Source organism: Homo sapiens, chromosome 16, assembly GCF_000001405.40.
Source record: "Homo sapiens chromosome 16, GRCh38.p14 Primary Assembly".
Classification (NCBI taxonomy): domain Eukaryota; kingdom Metazoa; phylum Chordata; class Mammalia; order Primates; family Hominidae; genus Homo; species Homo sapiens.
This window is the reverse complement of record NC_000016.10, coordinates 27,268,153-27,290,733: the sequence shown is the minus strand read 5'-3', so window position 1 is coordinate 27,290,733 and position 22,581 is coordinate 27,268,153. Positions and strand designations below refer to the sequence as shown.

The following is a 22,581-nucleotide window of genomic DNA, read 5'->3' as shown; positions in this document are numbered from 1 at the left end:
AGGTGTGCAAGGAGGCTTCTGGGAAAGATTTTCCTCTCTGATAAAAAGAGAGAGAGAGAAAGAGATTTTTGGACATTGTCTTGGAGGCAGGAGATACTTGGAGCTGTGACAGCCATCTTGCAACCATGAGGACAGAGCCAAGGATAAAAGCCAACATGCTGAAGATGTCAGAGCAGGGGCCTTTATAAGATCATTGAGTTTCTGCCCCAGCCCTGGAAACTCCTACCTTGGAACACTTTGCTAAATTCGATCTGAAATGCCTTTATTAGGAAAGCCATTTTTAATTGGGTACACTGGGATTAGTAGCTGAAAGTATTCGGAAATTTACAGTGGGTAACTGTTGAAAGAAAGTAGCCGGGTCAGGATGGAAATCCTGAACTCCCAGACTCAGATGAGAACAATAGCTGGCTGCCGACTTAGGCCATGGATGGGTGATGCTTCTTGGTCTACTAATAGGTGCTTGGCCTCATGGGCAGTTCCGCAGTCTGTCTGTGGAAGAGAGTGAGTACATGAAAAAAAATACAGCAAAAAGGAAGAGAAAGAAGACAGGGAGAGAGGAATCATTCACAAGTGAATGACCCCAAATCCTCAGGCTTCATTTCTGCTGGCACAACCTTGTTCATTTGCTCTGGGACATCCCATCATCAAATTGTAACATGGTTTCAATCCACTGTGGGATGGCAGAGAAACTACGGCGTATCATCTAACCTGGTTTCATCAGTATTTCTAACTTAGTTTTTGGCAGGTTATTCATTCTCTTGTGTTGGAGACACTGCCTTTCTGTGTTGCTGAGAAAAGGGGGGATGGGGCTATGCTTCTCTTATTTCTGGTTAATTTTGTGGCTAGAAAAAATTTCGTGGGAAAGACTAATGCACAACATATTTTTACCACATCAACTACCGGTCCCATCATGATGCAGGATGTTGCAGGAATCACTGATGTGCACCTTGTACAGGTTGATGTAATGCTTACTTCTTGGTTTGCAGGTCAAAAACAAGCTAGAAGTGAGGAGTGGTATCAATATACATTTTAAGGCCGAGTGCAATGACTCACGCCTGTAATCTCAACACTTTGGGAGGCTGAGGCAGGCAGATTATTTGAGGTCAGGAGTTCGAGACTAGCCTGGCCAACATGGTGAAACCCCGTCTCTACTAAAAGTACAAAAATTATCCAGGCATTGGTGGCGGGTGCCTAGTCCCAACTACTCAGGAGGCTGAGGCATGAAAATCACTTGAACCCAGGAGGCGGATGTTGTAGTGAGCTGAGATGGCACCATTGCACTCCTGCCTGGGTGCCAGAGTGAGACCCCATCTCAAAAAAAAAAAAAAAAAAAAAAAAAAATTTTAAGGATATGATCACTCTCCCAGAGGCAAGAAGTATCATTTCTCGACCCCAATGAGTGCTCTCTTTCCTCATGTCATCACATTTCTTTATATACGACTGTAGTTCATCTCTGGTACTGATCCTCCCCTTCCAGTATCCTTCTCTTTTGGGCCACTCTACTCAAACCATGCTTTCTGGGGTCAGCTATGACAGTGTCACCAAACACAAAGCCTTTCTTTTCCCAGTTCTCATGCAATCTTTTTCTCTCTGCAGCTGTTCATTCTTCATGAAATGCTCTCTTCTGTTAATTTCCAAGATTCCATACCTACCCTCCTGGTTTCTCCTGACCTCTCTAATCACCTCCTCTCACTTCTCATCCTGCCTTCTAAATGTAATCATTCACATCCTCTCCTTTTTCCTCTAGCATTCTTCTGGTTCTGCTCATTTATAAACTTACTTTTTCCCTTCTTGGGTACATGACCACCATCAAAGCTTCCACAATACATAAGTATATATATTCAGTGAATGTTTCCCCGGATCTATTCTGGCCCTGTCCAATCCGATTTCCCAGATGGAACCTCTGTGAGCATTGGGTGTGCATTCTTCCAGACCTGGTACAAGCAGACACATCATTCCATAGTGTGATGATTTTGTTTTGGTTTTATTTTGTTTTGTAGAGACGTGGTCTCCCTATGTTGCCCAGGTTATTCTTGACCTCCTGGGCTCAAGCAATCCTCCCGCCTTGGCCTCCCAATGTGCTGGGATTACAGCCATGAGCCACTGCACCCAGCCCATAGCATGGCATTGACTACAGTTCTGCGTTGGTCATTTAAAGTCTCCACATTTAGCCCTGTCCTTTCTCCCATGCCCTAGTATTTTATTTATTTATTTATTTATTTATTTATTTATTTATTTATCTATGAGACAGGGTGGTCTCACTCTGTCACCTAGGCTGGAGTGCAGTTGTGCGACCTCGGATCACTGAAACCTCCACCTCCAGGTTTCAAGCGATTCTTCTGCCTCAGCCTCCCAAGTAGCTGGGATTACAGGCACCTGCCACAACGCCCAGCTAATTTTTGTATTTTTAGTAGAGATGGGGTTTTGCCATGTTGGCCAGGCTAGTCTCGAACTCCTGACCTCATGTGATCCATCTGCTTCGGCCTCCCAAAGTGCTGGGATTCCAGGCGTGAGCCCCCCGACCTGGCCCATGCCCTCGTGTTTCATGATCCACACCTTGAGCATGTTCTCTCACACCTCTTGCCCTCAGAATGCCTAGGGCAAAGTCATTGTCTCTCGCGAGCTAACTTCTGTGCTTGGACGGTGTCACCATCCAATTAAGCAAGCTGGAAATGATGTTGTCATTGTTGACTTCCCTCTCTGTCTCTCTTTCCCATTCTCGCTTGTGAAAGACAGTCACAGCAGCCATGGGCTGTGCACTCTGCTTCTTTTTTTATTTCCCAGCTTTTAGGTTTTGGGGGTACCTGTTCAGGCTTGTCACATGGGTAAATGGTGCGTCGCTGAGGTTTGGGGTACAAATGACCCCATCACCCAGGTACTGAGCATAGTACCCAATAGGAAGCGTATCAACTCTTGCCCCCTCCTACCATCCTCCCTCTAGAAGTCCCTCGTGTCTATCGTTCCCATGTTAATGACCATGCATGTTCAATGTTTAGCTCCCACTTATAAGCGAGAACATGCAGTATTTGGTTTTCTGTCCCTGTGTTAATTCACTGAGGATAACAGTCTCCAGCTGCAACCATGTTGCTTCAAAGGACATGATCTCATTCTTTTTTATGGCTGCATAGTATTCCACGCAGTACCCTCCACTTCTGTGTTCATTTTCACATCTGGCTTATTTCCCACTCCTTGCTGCTTCTGCCCTGGTCCAGCCCCACCCTCCTCTCACCTGAAGTAAAGCTATATCCTCCAAGCTGCTTTCCCTGTTTTTTGTTGCTTGTGACATCCTCTGTATGTCGCCTACTGTGAGGCGAAAGCAACTCCATTTTGGATGCAGATCCACCATGTTGACTTAAGATTCACCACAGTTGCAGGAATGCCTCTAAGATTTCTACTTACTGCAAAGCCTGCCCTTAGGTCAAAACAACCTTGATGTTATTGTAAACACATGCTAATCATAAATCCTGCCCTTAGGCAATTTCCCTATGGTATATAAGCCCTGGTCTTGGGGCTGGGAGGTAGCAGCACAGGGGACTACTATTTCTCAACCATTGGATACGTGGCTTCTCTTCACAAGTCCCAGTTAAATGCTTCTTTCTAGGAAGCCACGGCTCCAGCCTATAATCCCAACACTTTGGGGGACTATGGTTGGAGGATCACTTGAACCCAGGGCTTTGAGGCCAACATGGACAACATAGTGAGGCCGTTTCTACAAAACATTAAAAAAAAATTAGCCAGGTGTGGTGTGTGACTTGTAGTCCCAGCTACTCGGGAGGCTGAAGTGGGAGGACTGCTTGAGCCCAGGAGGTTAAAACTGTAGTGAGTTCTGATCACATCACTTCACTCTAGCCTGGGTGACAGAGTAAGCCCCTGTCTCTAAAAACAACAATGACAACAACAACAAAAATTTGTCTCTGAAAAACTGGGTTTGTCAGCCTCTTTCTTCAACCTCTCAGCTTCCTCGGCCTTTGGGGTAGGTTTGTACTGACCTCCCACTGTGTATCACTGGCCAGTTATCGTCGCACTTCTTCTTCCCTCCTGATTAATTCAGGCTGCAATGGCCCACACATGCCTGGAGAATGAATCAGGGTTGACTTAGGCCAGAAATAACAATCCCACTTCCCTTTCACGGATTCTGACTTGCCCAGGCTTCCTTGCAGTAAGAGGTGCTGATGTGATTCAGTTTTTGCCAACAAGATCCACAGGGGAAATCTGGGAAGAGGCCCATGAAGAGAAAGACCTCCTGCCCTACCTCTTTCCTGGCACCATCATTTTCATCTGTGGCACTGAACACCTGTAAGGCCTAGCTCCAGACTTACCTTTCCTCCAACATGACCCACTTATGTTGCCAGTCACTTCTTACCTACCTTATGCTGGAGCTGGGGGTAGGGGCTTGGGAATTCAGGTCAGTTACATCATGCATCATAGTTGGTCTCCAAAGATGGCCCCAAATGAAGCCACCTCCCAGTGTTCGTGTTCTTATGCAGCCCTCTCCACTCTGAATCTGCACTGGTCCTCTGAAATATGTTAACTCACAGAATAAAAAGATAATGATGCTGTGCTAGTCTGGGCCCAAGCCTGAGGAAGAACAAGATATTCTGATGTTATCCTCTCCGGAGCCCTGAGCCAGCACACAAGAAACCCAACTGCCCTGAGACTGCCACGTTTTGAGGAAATGTAAGCTGACCACAAGGAGAGGCCACGTGGAGGAGAACTGAGACTCTCAGCCAACATGGAGGACCAGGCTCCAATCTCATGATGTAGTATGAGCCATTCCAACCAGCCTCCACCCATTTGCGTCCCCTGAGTTGACACCACGGGAAGGAAAGATAAGCTGGGTAAGTTGGGGTGAAAATGTAACTGCAAATCATATCCTCTGTTCAATCTCAATAGCCTTCTCATTTTTTTTTTTTTTTTTGAGACAGGGTTTCACTCTGTTGCCCAGGCTGGAGTGTGGTGGCAAAATCATGACACACTGCAGCCACAGCCTCCCAAGGCTCAGGTAATCCTCCCACGTCAGCCTCCTGAGTAGCTAGGACTATAGGCATGCACCACCATGCCTGGCTAATTTTTAAATTTTTTGTAGATACAGGATCTCCCTGTGTTGCACAGGCTGGTCTCAAACTCCTGGGCTCAAGGGATCCTCCCGCCTTGGCCTTCCACAGTGCTGGGACTACAGGTGTGAGCCGCTGCACCCAGCCAGCCTTCTCTTTCTTGCAAATGATTGCACTCTTCTGCAGCTTCACTTTGCTTACACGGGCCTCTCAGCCTGCATTACCTTTCCTCTGCATCAGTTATCCCATCCTCTAAAGCTAATCTGGAAAGCCCCCACTTCTATAAACCTTCCAGATGATGTCAACTCTGAAGAGTGGGTATTTGGACCAGCTCTGCAGCAAGTGTGTACTTTTGCTCACTATGCACCTACCCTCCCTCTCTTGTTGTAACAGCACCCCAGTTTTGTTTGGATGAACTCCCCCCACCACCTTTTAGTGCAACTCTGTCAATCAAGTTGTCCATTAACTTGTGTTTCAAGTGGGACGTAGAACCCGCCTGGGCCAATCAGTTGTTTCTCTCTCTCTCTCTCTCTCTCTCTGTCTCTCTCTCTCTCTCTCTGCTCTTACTCTTTCTCCAGTGCAAATCCTGAGAGGGTGACAGATAGCTGAAAATGGATGACAGCCTGACCAGACCTCCATAAGCTGCTGCTGGCAAGGTCTGCCAAGTTCTCTGGTCCACATTCAGTCCCAAATCTGAGGCTCCAGCATTTTCATTTGAGTCTACGAGCCACCCTGGAGCAGAGACAGTAATGCTCGCCAATGATTCCATTGTTCCCTTTCATTTCCCAGTGTTCTGGCATTTAGGGAAGATCTTGTGACTAGTTCTCACCAGAGATCCTAGAGTAGAAAGGACACATGTCACTTTCAGGCTGAGGCAGTAAAAACCCCCTGTGCAAACCCCCAGCCTCTTTCTTCCCCTGCCATGGTCACACCAACAAGGCTTCATGTTTCAGGGCTGCAGCCACCAGATGGTGGAACCTCCATTAGTCTGAGTGAAAGGAGGGCAGAGCCTACTGCTGATCCACATGTGGTAGATTCCACTACCTAGAAATAATAATTTTGAGAATGTTTGTTATAGCAGCATGACCTGGACTGTCCTGAATAATATACACCAATACCCTTCCTACCCTTCCAATAAACTTTTTTTGCTTAGATTATCACATCAGTTTCTTGTACCTAAACCAGCTTAACTGATAAACTAACAGCACTTAGTAGCAATTTCTTTTTCTTTCTTTCTTTTCTTTCTTTCTTCTTTCTCTTTCTTTCTTCTTTCTTTCTCTCTCTCTCTTTTCTTTTTTTTTTTGAGACAGGGTCTCACTCTGTCACCCAGGCTGAGTGTAGTGGTGCAATCTATGGCTCACTGTAGCCTTGAACTCTACAGTGGGCTCAAGCAATCCTCCCATTTCAGCCTCCCCAGTAGCTGGGACCACAGGCCTGTGAGCTCTGCAGCCTTGAACTCTGCAGATGGGCTCAAGCAATCCTCCCACCTCAGCCTCCCCAGTAGCTGGGACCACAGGCCTGTGAGCTCTGCAGCCTTGAACTCTGCAGATGGGCTCAAGCAATCCTCCCACCTCAGCCTCCCCAGTAGCTGGAACCACAGGCGTGTGCCACCACACGTTGCTAATTTTGGTATTTTTAGTAGACACGGGGTTTCACCATGTTGCCCAGGCTGATCTCAAACTCCTAGGGCTCAAGCGATCCTCCTGCCTCAGTCTCTCAAAGTGCTGGGATTACATGGGTGAGACATTCCACCTGGCCAGCAATTCCTTTGTTGATTACACTTACTAATGTGCATTTATCTTATTTTTTCTTGCCAGCTGAGAGCAACCTGACCTAAGGACTACGGAGATTCATCTTTGCATCTTACCACACTGCTGAGCACTTTCTTGATAAGATTTGTTAAGATGAATGTAAAAACTGAATGAAAATGAAATTTTTGTTTTGTTTTTAGAGACAAGGTCTCTCTTTGTCATCCAGGCTGGAGTGCAGTGGTGTGATCATAGCTCACTTCAGCCTTGAACTTCTAGACTCAAGCGATCCTCCCACCTTAGCCTCCCAGTAGGTGGGACTATAGGAATTGAATTCGTTTTTTAAATTCAATGTTTGCATTCATCCTATCAAATAGTATCAAGAGCCTTATAAGTATTCATCAGTGTGTACCACCACCAGACCTAGCTAATTTTTAAATTTTCCGTAGAGACGGGGTCTTGCTGTGTTGCCCAGGCTGGTCTCAAACTCCTAGCCTCAAGTGCGCCTCCCACCCCAGCCTCCCAAAGTACGGTGATTAAAGACATGAGCCACTACGCCTGGCTGAAAATGAAAAACGTGGTGAGTCAACCAGTTACTCTCTTTTCAACTGTGGTTTTCTAATCCATTTTCAAGTGAGGTTTCTTTTTTTCTTTTCTTTTTTTTTTTTTGAGACGGAGTCTCGCTCTGTAGCCCAGGCTGGAGTGCTGTGGCACAATCTTGGCTCACTGCAACCTCTGCCTCCTGGGTTCAAGCGATTCTCTTGCCTCAGCCTCCCGAGTAGCTGGGATTACAGGCATGTGACACCACGATCGGCTAATTTTTGTATTTTTAGCAGAGATGGAGTTTTGCCGTGTTGGCCAGGCTAGTCTCGAACTCCTGACCTCAGGTTATCTGCCCACCTCGGCCTCCCAAAGTGCTGGGATTACAGGCATGAGCCACCATGCCTGGTCTCAAGTGAGTTTTAATTAAAAGAGATTTAAAAATATGATTGCATCTCTATTTTTATGACGGTGGCATATATATAATAATATCTATATGTTTCAATCAAATTGTAGTCATAACTTTAAAAAGCCTTATTAAATGACAAAGAGTAAAACACTCTGGAAACATCAGAACAGCAGCAATATTCACCAAGCTCTTTATTTGCAACAGACACTCTATGTAGGGATTTTACTTTTTCATCCTCCAACCACACTCCATCCCTAATCCTGGTGTCTACATCTTATTGAAGACAAAAGAAGCAGCAGCAATTTGGAACTATTTGTTTATTGCTCCCAAAGGAATAAATAATTTCCAAATCATAAAAAGGGGGACTCAAAGGAGCTGGTAGACTAATAAAGAAGAACCATAGAGAGGAGGAAGTTCTCCATTTTTGTCCATTTAAAAAGAAACACAACAGTTGGGTGCTCACACCTGTAATCCAAGCACTTTGGGAGGCCAAGGAGGGAGGATCACTTGAGGCCAGGAGTTTGAGACCTGCCTAGGCAACAAAGTGAGATCCAATCTCTACAAGAAATAAAAAATTAGCTGGGTGTGGTGGTATGCACCTGTACTCCCAGATACTTGGGAGGCTGAGGCAGGACGATCACTTGTGCCCAGGAGTTTGAGGCTGCAGTGACTTAAGATCACACCACTGTACTCCAGCATGGATGACCGAGTGAGACCCTATCTCTTTAAAAAATTCTTTTTTTTTTTTCTGAGATGGAGTCTCTCCCGGTCACCCAGGTTGGAGTACAGTGGCGTGATCTTGGCTCACTGTAACCTCTGCCTCCTGGGTTCAAGCAATTCTCCTGTCTCAGCCTCCCGAGTAGCTGGGATTACAGGCGCCTGCTACCATGCCCAGCTAATTTTTGTATTTTTAGTAGAGATGGGGTTTCTCCATGTTGGTCAGGCTGGTCTCAAACTCCTGACCTCAGGTGATCCACCCGTCTCGGCCTCCCAAAGTGCTGGGATTACAGGCGTGAGCCATCGCGCCCGGCCAAAAAATTCATTTTTTAAATTCAATTTTTGCATTCATCCTATCAAATAGTATCAAGGGCCTTACAAGTATTCAGCAGTGTATACCAGCTTGGATGGCACAGCAAGACCCTGTCTCAAAAAAAAAAGAAAATGAAACACATGCAAAGTGGAAATGACTTACAACCTGCTCCCAGTGAGAGAAAGAGAGAGGGAGAGAGAGAAAGATAAATATTACTGTTGGAATAATCTTTAAGAGCATGCGGTGTGCGGTATGTGAAAGAATCTAAATGTGTTACAGATCAGGGCTTCTCAAGCATTCACACGCTCAGAATTCACCTGCAGATCTTGCTAAAATGCAGATTCCGCTTCAGTATGTCAGGGAGGGGCCTCAGTCAACTCCTTAGATGTCTCGAGCTCCCAGGGGGTGCTGAGGCTGCTGGAAGAGCAAGTGCAGAAAACTAGTGGGATCAGAACGGCCAACACAATTCAAGAACTCTTCAGAAGCTTGGGTTGGGGGTTTTGATGAGCTTGCCCTGAATTCAGCCTTTGATCAGTTCTCTTTAAAAGTCGGTTAGGAAATCACTGTTACCTTGTATCTTATCTGGAAATCACTTCTCTGGTAGCTTCACTATCTTTTTAGAAAAAGAGTCAAGAACACAGACGCAGGGGAAACAGAGGTCTGAAAAGCGAGAACAAGCGTAACAAGTTCTACACACTAAAACTTCTATGCTTTACTGAGATTTAGTTTTAATTTTTGGCCACTTTTTCTAACAAGACTGGCTATGTGTTTGCTCAGGTTAGAGGATGTTAGAAGAAGGGAATTATAAGCGCTTAGGACTTCTGGTAGCCCGACAGAGGGGAAGAGATGGAAATAATACGAAAAGCTGACCCTAGAATGAAAAATTCACCACCGTCTTGGGGCATTTCTTGCAAAGGCAAAAAGCCCTAGAGTAGTCACTGTCCTCAAGATATCTTTGAGACGGAGTCTCACTCTGTTGCCCAGGCTGGAGTGCAGTGGTGCGATCTCGGCTTACTGCAACCTCTGCCTCCTGGGTTCAAGTAATTCTCCTGCCTCAGCCTCCCCAGTAGCTGGGACTACAGGCATGCGCCACCACGCCCAGCCAGTTTTCGTATTTTTTTTTAAATTTAATTTTATTATTATTATACTTTAAGTTTTAGGGTACATGCGCACAATGTGCAGGTTAGTTACATCTGCATACATGTGACATGCTGGTGTGCTGCACCCATCAACTCGTCATTTAGCATTAGGTATATCTCCTAATGCTATCCCTCCGCACTCCCCCCACCCCACAACAGTCCCCAGAGTGTGATGTTCCCCTTCCTGTGTCCATGTGTTCTCATTGTTCAATTCCCACCTATGAGTGAGAATATGCGGTGTTTGGTTTTTTGTTCTTGCGATAGTTTACTGAGAATGATGATTTCCAATTTCATCCATGTCCCTACAAAGGACATGAACTCATCATTTTTTATGGCTGCATAGTATTCCATGGTGTATATGTGCCACATTTTCTTAATCCAGTCTATCATTGTTGGACATTTGGGTTGGTTCCAAGTCTTTGCTATTGTGAATAGAGCTGCAATTCACAATTGCTTCAAAGAGAATAAAATACTTAGGAATCCAACTTACAAGGGACGTGAAGGACCTCTTCAAGGAGAACTACAAACCACTGCTCAATGAAATAAAAGAGGATACAAACAAATGGAAGAACATTCCATGCTCATGGGTAAGAAGAATCAATATCGTGAAAATGGCCATACTGCCCAAGGTAATTCATAGATTCAATGCCATCCCCATCAAGCTACCAATGACTTTCTTCATAGAATTGGAAAAAACTACTTTAAAGTTCATATGGAACCAAAAAAGAGCCCGCATCGCCAAGTCAATCCTAAGCCAAAAGAACAGTTGTTGTATTTTTAGTAGAGATGGGGTTTCCCCATGTTGGCCAGGCTGGTCTCGAACCCCTGACCGCAAATGATCCGCCTCCCAAAGTGCTGGGATTACAGGCGTAAGCCACTGTGCCTGGCCCTCAAAGATACCTTGTACTCATCAAGAAAGGTCATCGTGTGCTTCAGATGGCAGAGAGATATATTTTTGAATAATTAATATAGAAAGATAGAAAAAATCTTTAAAAAATGTTGGTGCTTGAAGGAATATTCTAGTTATGTGAAACAATTCTGGGCCAGGTGCGGTGGCTCACACCTGTAATCCCAGTACTTTGGGAGGCCAAGGCAGAAGGATCGCTTGAGCCCAGGAGTTTGAGACCAGCCTGGGTAACATAGCAAAATCCCACCTCTACTAAAAATTAAAAAAAAAAAAAAAGCCAGCCATGGCGGCTTATGCCTGTGGTCCCAGCTACTTGGGAGGATGAAGCAGGAAGATTGTTTGAGTCTGAGAGGTTGAGGCTGCACTGAGCTGTGATCATGCCACTGTGCTCCAGCCTGGGTGACAGAGTAAGACCCTGTATCAAAAATAATAATAATAATTTAAAAATCTTATATATAACAATTCTCAGATGATGCTGGGTAATTATGGCTATAACTATATCCCAATCATATCTATGTAGACCATTATATATATTCTCTATTTCCTTATATCTAAAATCTTTATGATCACACAGACTCGGTTATTCTGAAAAATAGTATCTCTTATGATTATAAAATAAGACATACTCTTGGAGAAAAGTTGGAAAATATAAGAAAATAATAAAAAGTTTATATGCACTGTTAATATTCTGGTGTGTGTTTAGTTTTCTCTCTTAAAATATCCTGAATTTTTTTTCTGACATCAAGTATTCTTTGAAAACATGATTTTTAGGGTACATAAGATTCCATAGAATTGTTACACACTCCAACTGTTCTCTTTTATAACATTGGGAGACATTTAAGTTGTTTCCTTCTTCCCCTAATATAATTAAGTCTCTCATGCACTTCCTTGTATATTAATTTTGTGAGCATCTTTGATTATTTCCCCAGATAGATTCCCAGAAGTGGAATTGCTGGGTCAAAGAACACAGACATGTCTGGGTTCTTAATGAGTACAGCAAAATTGCCCTGTGGAGAGACTGAACCGTCTACACTGCCTCTGGCAATGTGCGTATTTCTCATTTTAGCGTCTGAGCTTTCTGCTGCCTTTAAATTTAGTAATTGGTTTTATTTTTATTTTTATTTTTTTGAGATGGAGTTTCCCTCTGTCTCCCAGGCTGGAATGCAGTGGTGCGATCTCAGCTCACCACAACCTCCGCCTCCTGGGTTCAAGGGATTCTCCTGCCTCAGTCTCCTGAATAGCTGGGAAGATAGGCGTGTGCCACCACGCCCGGCTAATATTTCGTATTTTTAGTAGAGATGAGGTTTCACTGTGTTAGCCAGGATGGTCTCGATCTCCTGACCTCATGATCTGCCCGCCTCAGCCTCCCAAAGTGCTGGGATTACAGGCATGAGCCACCGTGCCCGGCCGGCCTATTGACAGTTTTTAAAATTGACCTTTGGGAGCTGTCACCATTCCTTTTAAGAAGAGTGATGAGTAGAGGGCGATCATTTTCCTTTTTTTCCCTACCAACTTGCGCGCATCACCTCTGCTAGATTGAACTTAAAATTTCTTTTCTTTTCTTTTCCCTCCCTCCCTCTCTTTTTCTTTTGAGGCAGAATCTCACTCTTGCCCAGGCTGGAGTGCAGTGGCGCCATCTCGGCTCACTGCAACCTCCGCCTCCTGGGTTCAAGCGATTCTCCTGCCTCAGCCTCCTGAGTAGCTGGGATTATAGGCATGTGCCACCATGCCTGGCTAATTTTGTGTGTGTGTGTGTATTTTTGTATTTTTAGTAGAGATGGGGTTTCGCCCAGGTTGTTCTCAAACTCCTGACCTCACGTGATCCAATTGTCTTGGCCTCCCAAAGTGCTGGGATTACAGGCATGAGCCACTGCACCTGGCTTGAACTTAAAATTTCATGAATCCAAAAATTATGTATTTATCACACTGCTGAGCTTTATAAAAAAAGAAACAAAAATGATGTAGTATACAAATGCTGATGAAAACGACTCTGAAAAGGGCTTGACCTGGGCTGTGAAAAACCCGGTCTCTAGTCTCCATTCTCTTCTCCATTCATTGCTATGTACTTTTCAAAAATACACTTTTAATTCTTTTTTCATATTTTCACTCCTATCAGAAATTTGTTTTCAAATACAGAAAAGTAAAAGTGAAAAAAATGACAGTTGTCCATTTTTCTACCATCCAACATTAACCACTGTTAACATTTTGGCATATTTGACTTTAACGCCTTTTTAAAGCCAATATTTGAAAAATTAAATTTTCAAATCTTTTCAATCCTTAAATTCATTGCTATATGAATACATAGTTTTATTATTTTAGTTCACAATTAGAATACTCCAGGCTGGGAGCGGTGGCTCACGCCTATAATCCCACTTTCGGAGGCTGAGGTGGGCGGATTACTTGAGGTCAGGAGTTCAAGACCAGCCTGGCCAACATGAGGAAACCCCGTCTCCACTAAAAATACAAAAATTAGCTGGGTGTGGTGGCGTGCACCTGTAGTCCCAGCTACTTGGGAGGCTGAGGCAGGAGAATCGCTTGAACCTAGGAGGCAGAGGTTGCAGTGAGCCAAGATCGCGTCACTGCACTCCAGCATGGGTGACAGAACAAGACTCCAGCTCAAAATAAATGAATAGAAATAAAATTAGAATATTCCAGATAAACCTCAAGATCTTTATTCTCTTCTCCCATCCCAATCTTCCTTTCCCCTTCCTAGAGGCCCTCTAGCTTGAGCTTTATAACAATCTTTTCAATCCTTAAATAGAAAATAGTTTTATATGCATATGCTTATCTACTGGCAAATTATAATATTGCCATTTTGCACTGCTCCAAATTTGCATAAATGGTGATCTTGCTGTATCATCTTTATATCTTGCTTTTCCCCCACTCTATCTATGCTTTCAGGATTCATTCATGTAGACACTTGTGAGTTAATTCATTCCTTTTCATGTTATATGACCACCCGTGGTACATGACTATCTTGCTTTTTGATTTCCTTATTAATGGCTCTTTAGGACGTTTCATTTTTTCCCACCACATTGTTGCAGCAAATCTCAAGCACACATGGGAGATTTTCTTCAGTTAAATTCCTAGAAGTGGAATTGCTAGATAAGCTTTTTCAATTTCAGTAACACCAAATAGCTCTCCAGAGGGGCTATATACAACATTTATAACCCCACCATATACGTACAATACTGGTCTTTCTTTACCCTTGACCACATTTTGTCATTCTTATAGGGAAAAAGTTGGTTTCCTTTTCTTGTTTTATTTCCAACTAATAGTGAGGTTAAACATCTTTCCATATATATTTATATTTAAATGTATATTTTATATTTATATTTAAATATATATTTTATAAATATACATATATATAAATATATATATATATATATTTTAATATGGAGTCTAGCTCCATCACCCAGGCTGGAGTGCAGTGGTGTGATCTTGGCTCAATGCAACCTCTGCCTCCCAGGTTCAAGTGATTCTCCCACCTCAGCCTCCCAAGTAGCTGGGACTACAGGTGCCTGCCACCATGCCCAGCTAATTTTTGTATTTTTAGGAGAGATGGGGTTTCACCATGTTGGCCAGGCTTGTCTCGAACTCCTGACCTCAAGTGATCCACCCGCCTCAGCCTCCCAAAATCCTGGGATTACAGGCATGAGCTATTGCACCTGGTCCCCACATATTTTTTGGCCATGTGAATTTTCTCTTTTGGAAGAGATATTCTTTTGATACACTGGTAGACTGAATTTTTTTCAATACATATTTGTAATATAGATGAGCCTGACATTTTCTTTAATTTTGCTGTTCTCTTTTTGGTGTCAAAATTAAACTAGTCTCAGAATGTGTTGAATAGCTTTCTCTATCTTGTTCATATTCCAGTGAATTTTGCATAATATAGTCTTTTTGTGTGTGCTGATCACTCCAGTAAAACTTACTTGTTCTGGACATCTTAGGAGGTGAAGCATATCCTATATTTCTAGTTCGATTTCATTAGTGATTATTACTTTTAATGGCAAAAACCTCAATTACTTTTGCACCAACCTAACACTTTTCTTCTTGGGTCAAGTTTTGTAATTTTTATTTTTGTTAAAATTACCTTTTTTCTAATTTTTCAAATGTATTGGCATAAAGTTTGTGGTATACTTTTGTGCTTTCTAAAATTTTTACTCTAGCTGGTATGTTCAGTTTGCCATTTATCGTATTGTTTGTATGATTTTCTTGATCAATCTTACATGAAGTTTTTCTATTTTATTAGTCATTAAGAGAACACCAGCTTTTGGCTTCTATAATCAACTTCATTTTCTTTTGTTCTTTGTTTTACTCATTTCTGCTTTTTCATTCTTATTTCCTTCCTTCTGCTTTCTCTGGGTTTCTGTAGTTGTTATTTTTCTAACTTTTAACAATTAACTCCCTTACATTTTTTCTTATTTTGTAAGAAGTATAAAGCTATAAGTCCCCCTCTAATTATTATTATTATTATTATTATTTTTATTTTGAGATGGAGTCTTGCTCTGTCACCCAGGCTGGAGCGCAGTGGCGTGATCTCAGGTCACTGCAGCCTCCGCCTCCAGGGTTCAAGCGGTTCTCCTGCCTCAGCCTGCTGATTACCTGGGATTACATGCATCCACCACCATGCCCGGCTAATTTTTGTATTTTTAGTAGGGACGGGGTTTTGTCATGTTGGCCAGGCTGGTCTCGAACTCCTGATCTCAGGTGATCTGCCCACCTCAGGCTCCCAAAGTGCTGGGATTACAGGCGTGAACCCCGTGCCCAGCTAATTATTTAGTTGGATCCCACATGTTTTATGATGTCAGGTTTTCATTGTCATTTATTTCCAAATATTTTATAATTTCCATATTGGTTTTCTTTTTAATCTGAATGTTTTCAGTTTCTAAACATGTGTTCTTTTTCTTTTAAAAATGTATGATAAAATCTTTCAACATATAAAAAATATAATACCTGTGTACATGGTCCTGTACTCAACACCTCACTTAAGAAATAAAACTCGAATATATGCTTATAATTTTTAATTTTAATTTTAATTTTTATTTTTTTGAGACAGAGCTTTGCTCTTGTTGCCCAGGCTGGAGTACAATGGCACGATCTTGGCTCACTGCAACCTCTGCCTCCTGGGTTCAAGGAATTCTCCTGCCTCAACCTCCTGAGTAGCTGGGATTACAGGCACTCACCACCATGCCTGGCTGATTTTTTTGTATTTTCAGTAGAGATGCGGTTTCATCATGTTGTCCAGGCTGGTCTCAAACTCCTGACCTCAGGTGATCCACCTGCCTTGGCCTCCCAAAGTGCAGGGGTTACAGGCGTGAGCCAGTGCGTCCGCCCAATTTTTAATTTTTAAAAATTCGTAAGTAATAGATGTACGTGGTTAAAAAAAAAAGTTCATTCTGACTTCCTGGCCCCTTCCTCAGAAGCAGCTGCAGTTACTAATTTAAGGTGTATTGTATCTACACCTTTTTGGCTCTCTTTTTGTTGTTGATGTTTAATTTTACCACATTGCGGTTTGTGAATGTGGTCTATAGATTCTTTGGAATTCATTTAAGCTTCCTTTGTGGCCCAGTACATAGTCAATTTCTGTAAAGAATAGATATACCAAAGTTTTTTTTTCTAAAATACAAGCCTGATCTCATCACTTACTTTTCATAAGCTTCTGTGGTCTTCGGGTGAAAGACCAACACCCTCAGCATATTATTTCCCGAAGCTTCCTCTCTAGCCAAGGCCTTGGCCCTCGCCTTGTGGTCAACAAATTTATGTACTCATAGCTCTCATGCATTTTAGGGTCAGCTTTGAGAAGTCTGAACCATCAGAGCTGTCCAGGAATAGAGAGTCCAAAGTCTGGCACTTCAAAGGCCCAATAAATACTCACAGAGCCCACTAGGGAATGAGCCGTCCTCTGAGTCATACTGAGGCAGGACTGTCACCCCATGGGGGACCACTCTGCATGATGAACTTCGATCCTTACTCACTACTTGTTCCTGCTGAACGAGATTCACCTCATAGAGGCCTCTGATTGCTGTACTGCTTCCATTTTAATTTGTCAGCACTTTCCCTTCTTTTTATTTTTGCCAGATCCATAGTGGATCACTTGACAGTAGCATTCTCCCGTCACTTGGCCTTCTATGAATCAGTTGCTTAACCCCAGCTAAGGCCCACTTCAGTATGAATCCAGGCTGAGCTTCTGCTCTGAAGCCCCCAGGATGGGGATGGGGGTGTTGAGGGAGGGATCAGATAACCAACTGTCATCTCTACACATTTCTGGTTTCAACCTCAGCTAGGAACTCATCTCTGCATTGTCGTCAGCGTCTCTTCCAAACCTTTTGATCCATTCCCCTTAAATCCCTTAGCATCTCCTCAGCACCTCCCAACCTTTTTTTGGGATAGGCTGGTGTGCAGTGGCACCATCCCTCAACCTTAACCTCAACTGTAGCCTCAACCTCCTGGGCTCTACCTCCCAGGCTCAAGCCATCCTCCCACCTCAACCTCTCAAGTAGCTGGGACTACAGACACATGCCACCACACTCGGCTAATTTTTAATTTTTTTTTTGTAGAGACGAGGTCTTGCTGTGTTGCCCAGGCTGGTCTCGAACTCCTGATCTCAAGCAATCCTCCCACCTCAGCCTCCCAAAGTGCTGGGATTACAAGTGTGAGCCACCACGCCAGGCCCTCTTCAGCCAAAGATTGATACTGTTTGCTACCTTACGGAGAAAACGGAAAACATCAGGAGTGAGCTTTTTTTAGCCACTTTCACCTCTTTTCCTGCTGTTTCAGAAGTGTCTCTTCTCTTCTCTAGGTTAACAGTAATCCTGTCGCTATACACCTTTGACCCCATCCCTTTTTGTCTGTTTTTTTTTTGGTGTTTTTTTTTTTTTTTTTAAGACAGAGTCTTGCTCTGTTGCCCAGGCTGGGGTGCACTGGCACAGTCTCGGCTCACTGCAACCTCCACCTCCTGGGTTCAAGACATTCTCCTGCCTCAGCGTCCAGAGTAGCTGGGACTACAGGTGTGCGCCACTACGCCCGGCTAATTTTTTGTATTTTTAGTAGAGATGGGGTCTCACTATGTTGGCCAGGCTAGTCTCAAATTCTTTTTTTTTTTTTTTTTGAGATGGAATCTCACTCTGTCACCCAGGCTGGAGTACAGTGGCTCGATCTCAGCTCACAGCAACCTCTGCCTCCTGGGTTTAAGTGATTCTTCTGCCTCAGCCTCCCAAGTAGCTGGGCCTACAGGCACGCACCACCATGCCCAGCTAATTTTTGTATTTTTAGTAGAGACAGGGTGTTACCATATTGGCCAGGCTGGTCTCGAACTCCTGACCTCATGATCCACCCGCCTCGGCCTGCCAAAGTGCTGGGATTACAGACGTGAGCCACCGCACCCGGCTGCCTGTTTTTATTTTATGGATTATTATCTCTGCTCCTATGTCTTCAAGTCTTCCCTTCTGAAGCCATACTTCCCAAAAGAGCAGTCAGCATTCCCTCTCCACTTCCTCAACTTCCACTCTTCACTCTTGGAGTTCGATCTGGCTTCCTCCCCTCTCTATTAAGATGGCCTTTGTTGGCCATCAAATTCTAAATCAGTGGCGCATCTTACTCGACCTCTCCAGAGCATTGACGATTCTGACCACACCCTCCTTCTCAAAAGTCTGTATTCCTATGTGCCTCTGATGCCACTTTCACAGCATGTGGTTCATGAATGTCACCTATAGATTCTTGAGAATTTCTTGAAGCTTCCTTTGTGGCCCAGTAATCAATTTCTGTAAATGTTCCAAGCATGTTTGAAAAGAATAGATATACCCAAGTTCTTTTTCTAAAATACAAACCTTCTCTCATTTCTTCCTGGTCTTCCATCACTTCTATGGTCTTCAAGTGAAAGACCAACCCCCTCAGTCTTGAATCTTTCTTTTCTTTCTACCTTTTTTTCTTGACGCTTTGATCTTGAAATGCTGGTGTTCCCAGCGTTTTCTATTCTTTTATCTCTCCACACACCAGGGAAGCACATGCTTCACAAAAGGGGACGGTCTCTCCCAAGTTCTGAACAAGTGCTGCCATGGGGGAAGGCTGGCCCACTGTCGTCAGACTTCCCCACTTTTCCAGAGCAGTCAGCTACAGTAGGGTTTTATGTGAAATGTCCCAAGTTTATTTATTTATTTTTGAGACAGAGTCTGGCTCTGTCACACAGGCTGGAGTGCAGTGATGCAATCTCAGCTCACTGCAACCTCTTCCTCCTTGGCTCAAGCTGTCCTCCCACCTCAGCCTCTTGAGTAGCTGGGACCACAGGTGTTCACCACCATGCCTGGCTAATTTTTGCGTGTGTGTGTGTGTGTGTGTGTGTGTGCGCGCGCGCGTATATATTTTTTTTGTAGAGATGGGGGCCTCACCATGTTGGCCATGGCTGATCTCAAACTTCTGAGCTCAAGCCATCCTCCCAGCTGGGCCTCCCAAAGTGTTGGAATTACAGGAATGAGCCATCATGCCCAGTCAAAGATTGAAAACCCCAACTTTAAATATTGATAATGAATAGAAAATTTCACAAAACCATGTAGGGCAAACAAAACACAAATATTACTCCTTAGGGCTTTATTTCCCCTCTTATTTGACTACCTATTAGGCAGTTTATAAAGAACTTATTAGTGGTGTTAGTTCACACTTATTGAGGGCTTACAATGTGCCAGAGACACTCTTCTAAGTAGTTTACGTTTACTCTTCCTTTAATCTTCAGAATAACATTATCAACAAAGTGTTATTATTAAACCTGCTTTATAGATGAGCAAACTGAAGCTGAAAACTTGAGCTCAGTCATCCCTTAGTATCTGTGAGGGATTGGTACCTTAGTCCCCATGGATACCAAAATTCTCGATGCTCAAGTCCCTTATGTAAAATCAAAACCACCTTTGTAAAAAGCATAACTGAGAAAATTATGATAGTGAAAGAGATCTGGCCTGACTCCATCTTGCTTCTAACTTCCAAGCTGTCCTTGATCATTCCTGGACATAGGTGGAATTAATGTTGGAAAGAACTTAGTTTATAGTTTAACTTTGAAACAAAGGCAATAATAGCCCTTTCCCAAAACAAATCCCCTCCTTGCCTAGGAACGGGTCTGCCTTTGTAGACTAACAAATTAGCTAAAAGATTAGAAATTATGGTTTAGGAGGTCACGCAAGCTGGAGGCTACAAGATTCTGACCCTCCCCAGATTGCTTCCGGGAGTAACATCACTGTTCTAAAACCTAAAATCAGTGCTTGAGATATTTTGCAGAACCCGTGTTCTAATGCACCAGCTGACGCCACCCAGCCCTGTAATCTGGCTAATCTGGTCCTATGGTCCTAACCCAGGATCTGACTCAGTGCAAGAGGACAGCTTTGACTCCTTTCCTCTCTGATCCAACCTATCAACACTCTCTAATCCCCAGCACCTCCAGCCACCAAATTATCCTTGAAAACCCTGAATTTCCAGGGAGACTGATTTGAGTAATAATAAAACTGTGGTCTCCTGTTCAGCCAGCTCTGTGTGAATTAAACTTTCTCTATTGCAATTCCCCTGTCTTGATAAATTGGTTCTGTCTAGGAAGCAGGCAAGGAGAACCATTGGGTGCTTACAAAATGCGAGAATACTTGCATTTAACCTACACAAATCCTCCAGTATATTGAAAATCATCTTTAAATTACTTACAATACTTAATACAATGTAAATGCTATATAAGTAATTGCTATGCTGTATTGCTTTCGGAATCTGTATTATTTTTATTGTTGAACTGTTATTTTTTACTGTTTTCCCCCACAAATATTAACCACCCACAGTTGCTTCAATCCGTAGATGGGGAACCTGTAAACATGGACAGCTGACTGTACTTTGTCCTATGTCTCAGAGACACTGAGTTTAAGGCCCAGGATTCCATGTTGACCATCCAGCTCCAAAGCTGAAGCTTTTAATCACCACACACCACTGCTTTCCCACTTAGCAGATGAAACTGAAGCCCAGAGAGGTTAAGAGGTTGTCCAAGATCACAGGGGTGGTGAGTGACCAAGCCTGGATTTGATCTATCCTCACAGAGACAGATATTTGCAGGTACTGCTGTTCTATATTAGTTACCTGTTTCCCTTGCTAGGCTGCATCCCTAGCTCTCAGACCAGGGATAGAATTCAAACGTTTGGAAAATTAACGCCTTGAAGACTCAAAGCAGTCCATTCACTTCCACGAGTAATTTCACTTGCTTTCTCACAATCCCTAGGTAAGATAACAGTTAACATATAATCAGCACTCCCATGTGACACTTTTCAATGGCCATGCTAAGCACCTGATATAGGTGTTATTATCTCTTGTAAATCTCACCAACACTATTTTGCAAGAACTAATATCCTCATTTAATGGAAGAGGAAACTGAGGCTCAGTGACTTGCCCAAGCGCCTGCCAACTAGTAAGTGGCAGAGCCAGGATTCTAGATCAGGCTCTATGACCACAGAGTCCACATTTTTCTTTTCTTTTTTTTTGAGCTCTGTCACCCAGGCTCGAGTGCTGTGGTACGATCTGGCTCACTGCAACCTCTGCCTCTCGGGTTCAAGTGATTCTCCTGCCTCAGCCTCCCGGGTAGCTGGGATTACAGGCACACACCACCACGCCCGGCTACTTTTTGTATTTTTAGTAGGGACGGGGGTTTCACCATGTTGGCCAAGCTGGTCTCGAACTCCTGACCTCAAGTGATCGGCCCGCCTTGGTCTCCCAAAGTGCTGGGATTACTTACAGGCGTGAGCCACCGCGACCGGACCAGAGTCCACATTTTTGACGTCGAGGCCACACTCAGTTCCACAGATGGGGAAACTGAGGCCCGGGGCAGGGCACTACATTGTGCCAGCGGAATGGTGGCCATTGAGGGAAGCCCAGGCTGCACGCCAATTCTTCCTCCTTGGTCAGGGAAGTCACTGAGGTGCAGGAGGCGGAGGGCGACAAGTGGAAGCCCCTTCCCATTATTAAGGATCGAGAGCGGGCGTAATTTGGGATCTAACCCACGAGGCGGAACCACCAGGGCAATGGCGCAAACGGAGAACCGGAAGTGCGTCACTCAACGGACGGGCGAATAAGCCGCAGGCCACCAATGGGAACGCCGCGTTCGCGTTCGCCCCGCCTCAAAGGAAGAAGAGTCCACCTTGCGACCGTATCCGCTAGCGCGGCCTGGGATGCGCTTGGGCTCCCTGGTGGGTAACGTGGGGAGCTAGGGGTTGGAGGGGAAAGAAGAGGGACTTCAAGGAAGGCGAGGGGAGGACGGAAGGTGGGGTGGGCGAGACAGGCAGTGGGGTCCGGCCCCGGGGTCGGTCCCCGTGGGCTGTGGAACTCGGGGACTGGGGTCTTGGGGTTTCCCCCTTCTTGATGGGGAAACTGAGGCCCAGACAGGGGCCGCAGAAAACAGCGGACTGGGATGTCCTCCCGCAACACACACGCAGACATCTAAAAATCTTACTATTTAGTGAAAAATATTTTTAATCGTAATTACGATTTAACAGGTAAAGATACTTTTCATTGTAACAGGTGAAAAAGCAAAATATAAAATTCGATTCAAACTGTGATTACATCTATGGAAAATACAGCCTTTGCCGACCACCCTCTTTGTCCCGCCGCCCTCCGTGCTCCCCTCTGTTTTGTGTACGGAGTTTCTTACTTTGTACAAGTCCGCAGCCGCTTATGTTACAGCCCCGAGGCCAGATGCGTTTAAAATCGAGGAGTTCTCGGAGTTTGGAAAGGTAAAGTCCC

At 44.1% G+C, this 22,581-nt stretch overlaps 1 protein-coding gene and 1 long non-coding RNA gene across 3 annotated transcripts in view, besides 2 other annotated features; one reads left to right on the top strand and one right to left on the bottom strand.

Annotated features, from left to right (window-relative positions):
* Positions 1-265: 265 nt before the first annotated feature.
* NSMCE1-DT (NSMCE1 divergent transcript) lies at positions 266-22,529 on the bottom strand. Its single transcript, NR_037184.1, has 5 exons — positions 22,490-22,529; positions 9,099-9,198; positions 3,990-4,072; positions 1,781-1,934; positions 266-489 (listed from the first exon to the last, which is right to left on the bottom strand). It is a non-coding gene; the product is annotated as an NSMCE1 divergent transcript (long non-coding RNA).
* Positions 18,532-19,080: an enhancer, noted in NCBI's record as "NANOG-H3K4me1 hESC enhancer chr16:27282975-27283523 (GRCh37/hg19 assembly coordinates)". NCBI's record gives its function as "activates a minimal SCP1, AML or CMV promoter by ChIP-STARR-seq in primed H9 embryonic stem cells {active_cell/tissue: H9 hESC(primed)}" and the evidence as "EXISTENCE:reporter gene assay evidence [ECO:0000049][PMID:30033119]".
* NSMCE1 (NSE1 component of SMC5/6 complex) overlaps positions 21,962-22,581 on the top strand; it is a 43,779-nt gene continuing 43,159 nt past the window's right edge. Inside the window, exons 1-2 of one of the 2 annotated variants that reach the window (XM_006721023.5) lie at positions 21,962-22,028; positions 22,360-22,571. The gene's annotated coding sequence lies outside the window, so the exon portion shown is untranslated. The remainder of the gene's footprint in view (positions 22,029-22,359; positions 22,572-22,581) is intronic. The other variant, NM_145080.4, reaches the window with a different exon arrangement.
* Positions 21,989-22,068: a silencer, noted in NCBI's record as "silent region_7299". NCBI's record gives its function as "represses an Ori minimal core promoter by ATAC-STARR-seq in GM12878 lymphoblastoid cells {active_cell/tissue: GM12878}" and the evidence as "EXISTENCE:reporter gene assay evidence [ECO:0000049][PMID:35858748]".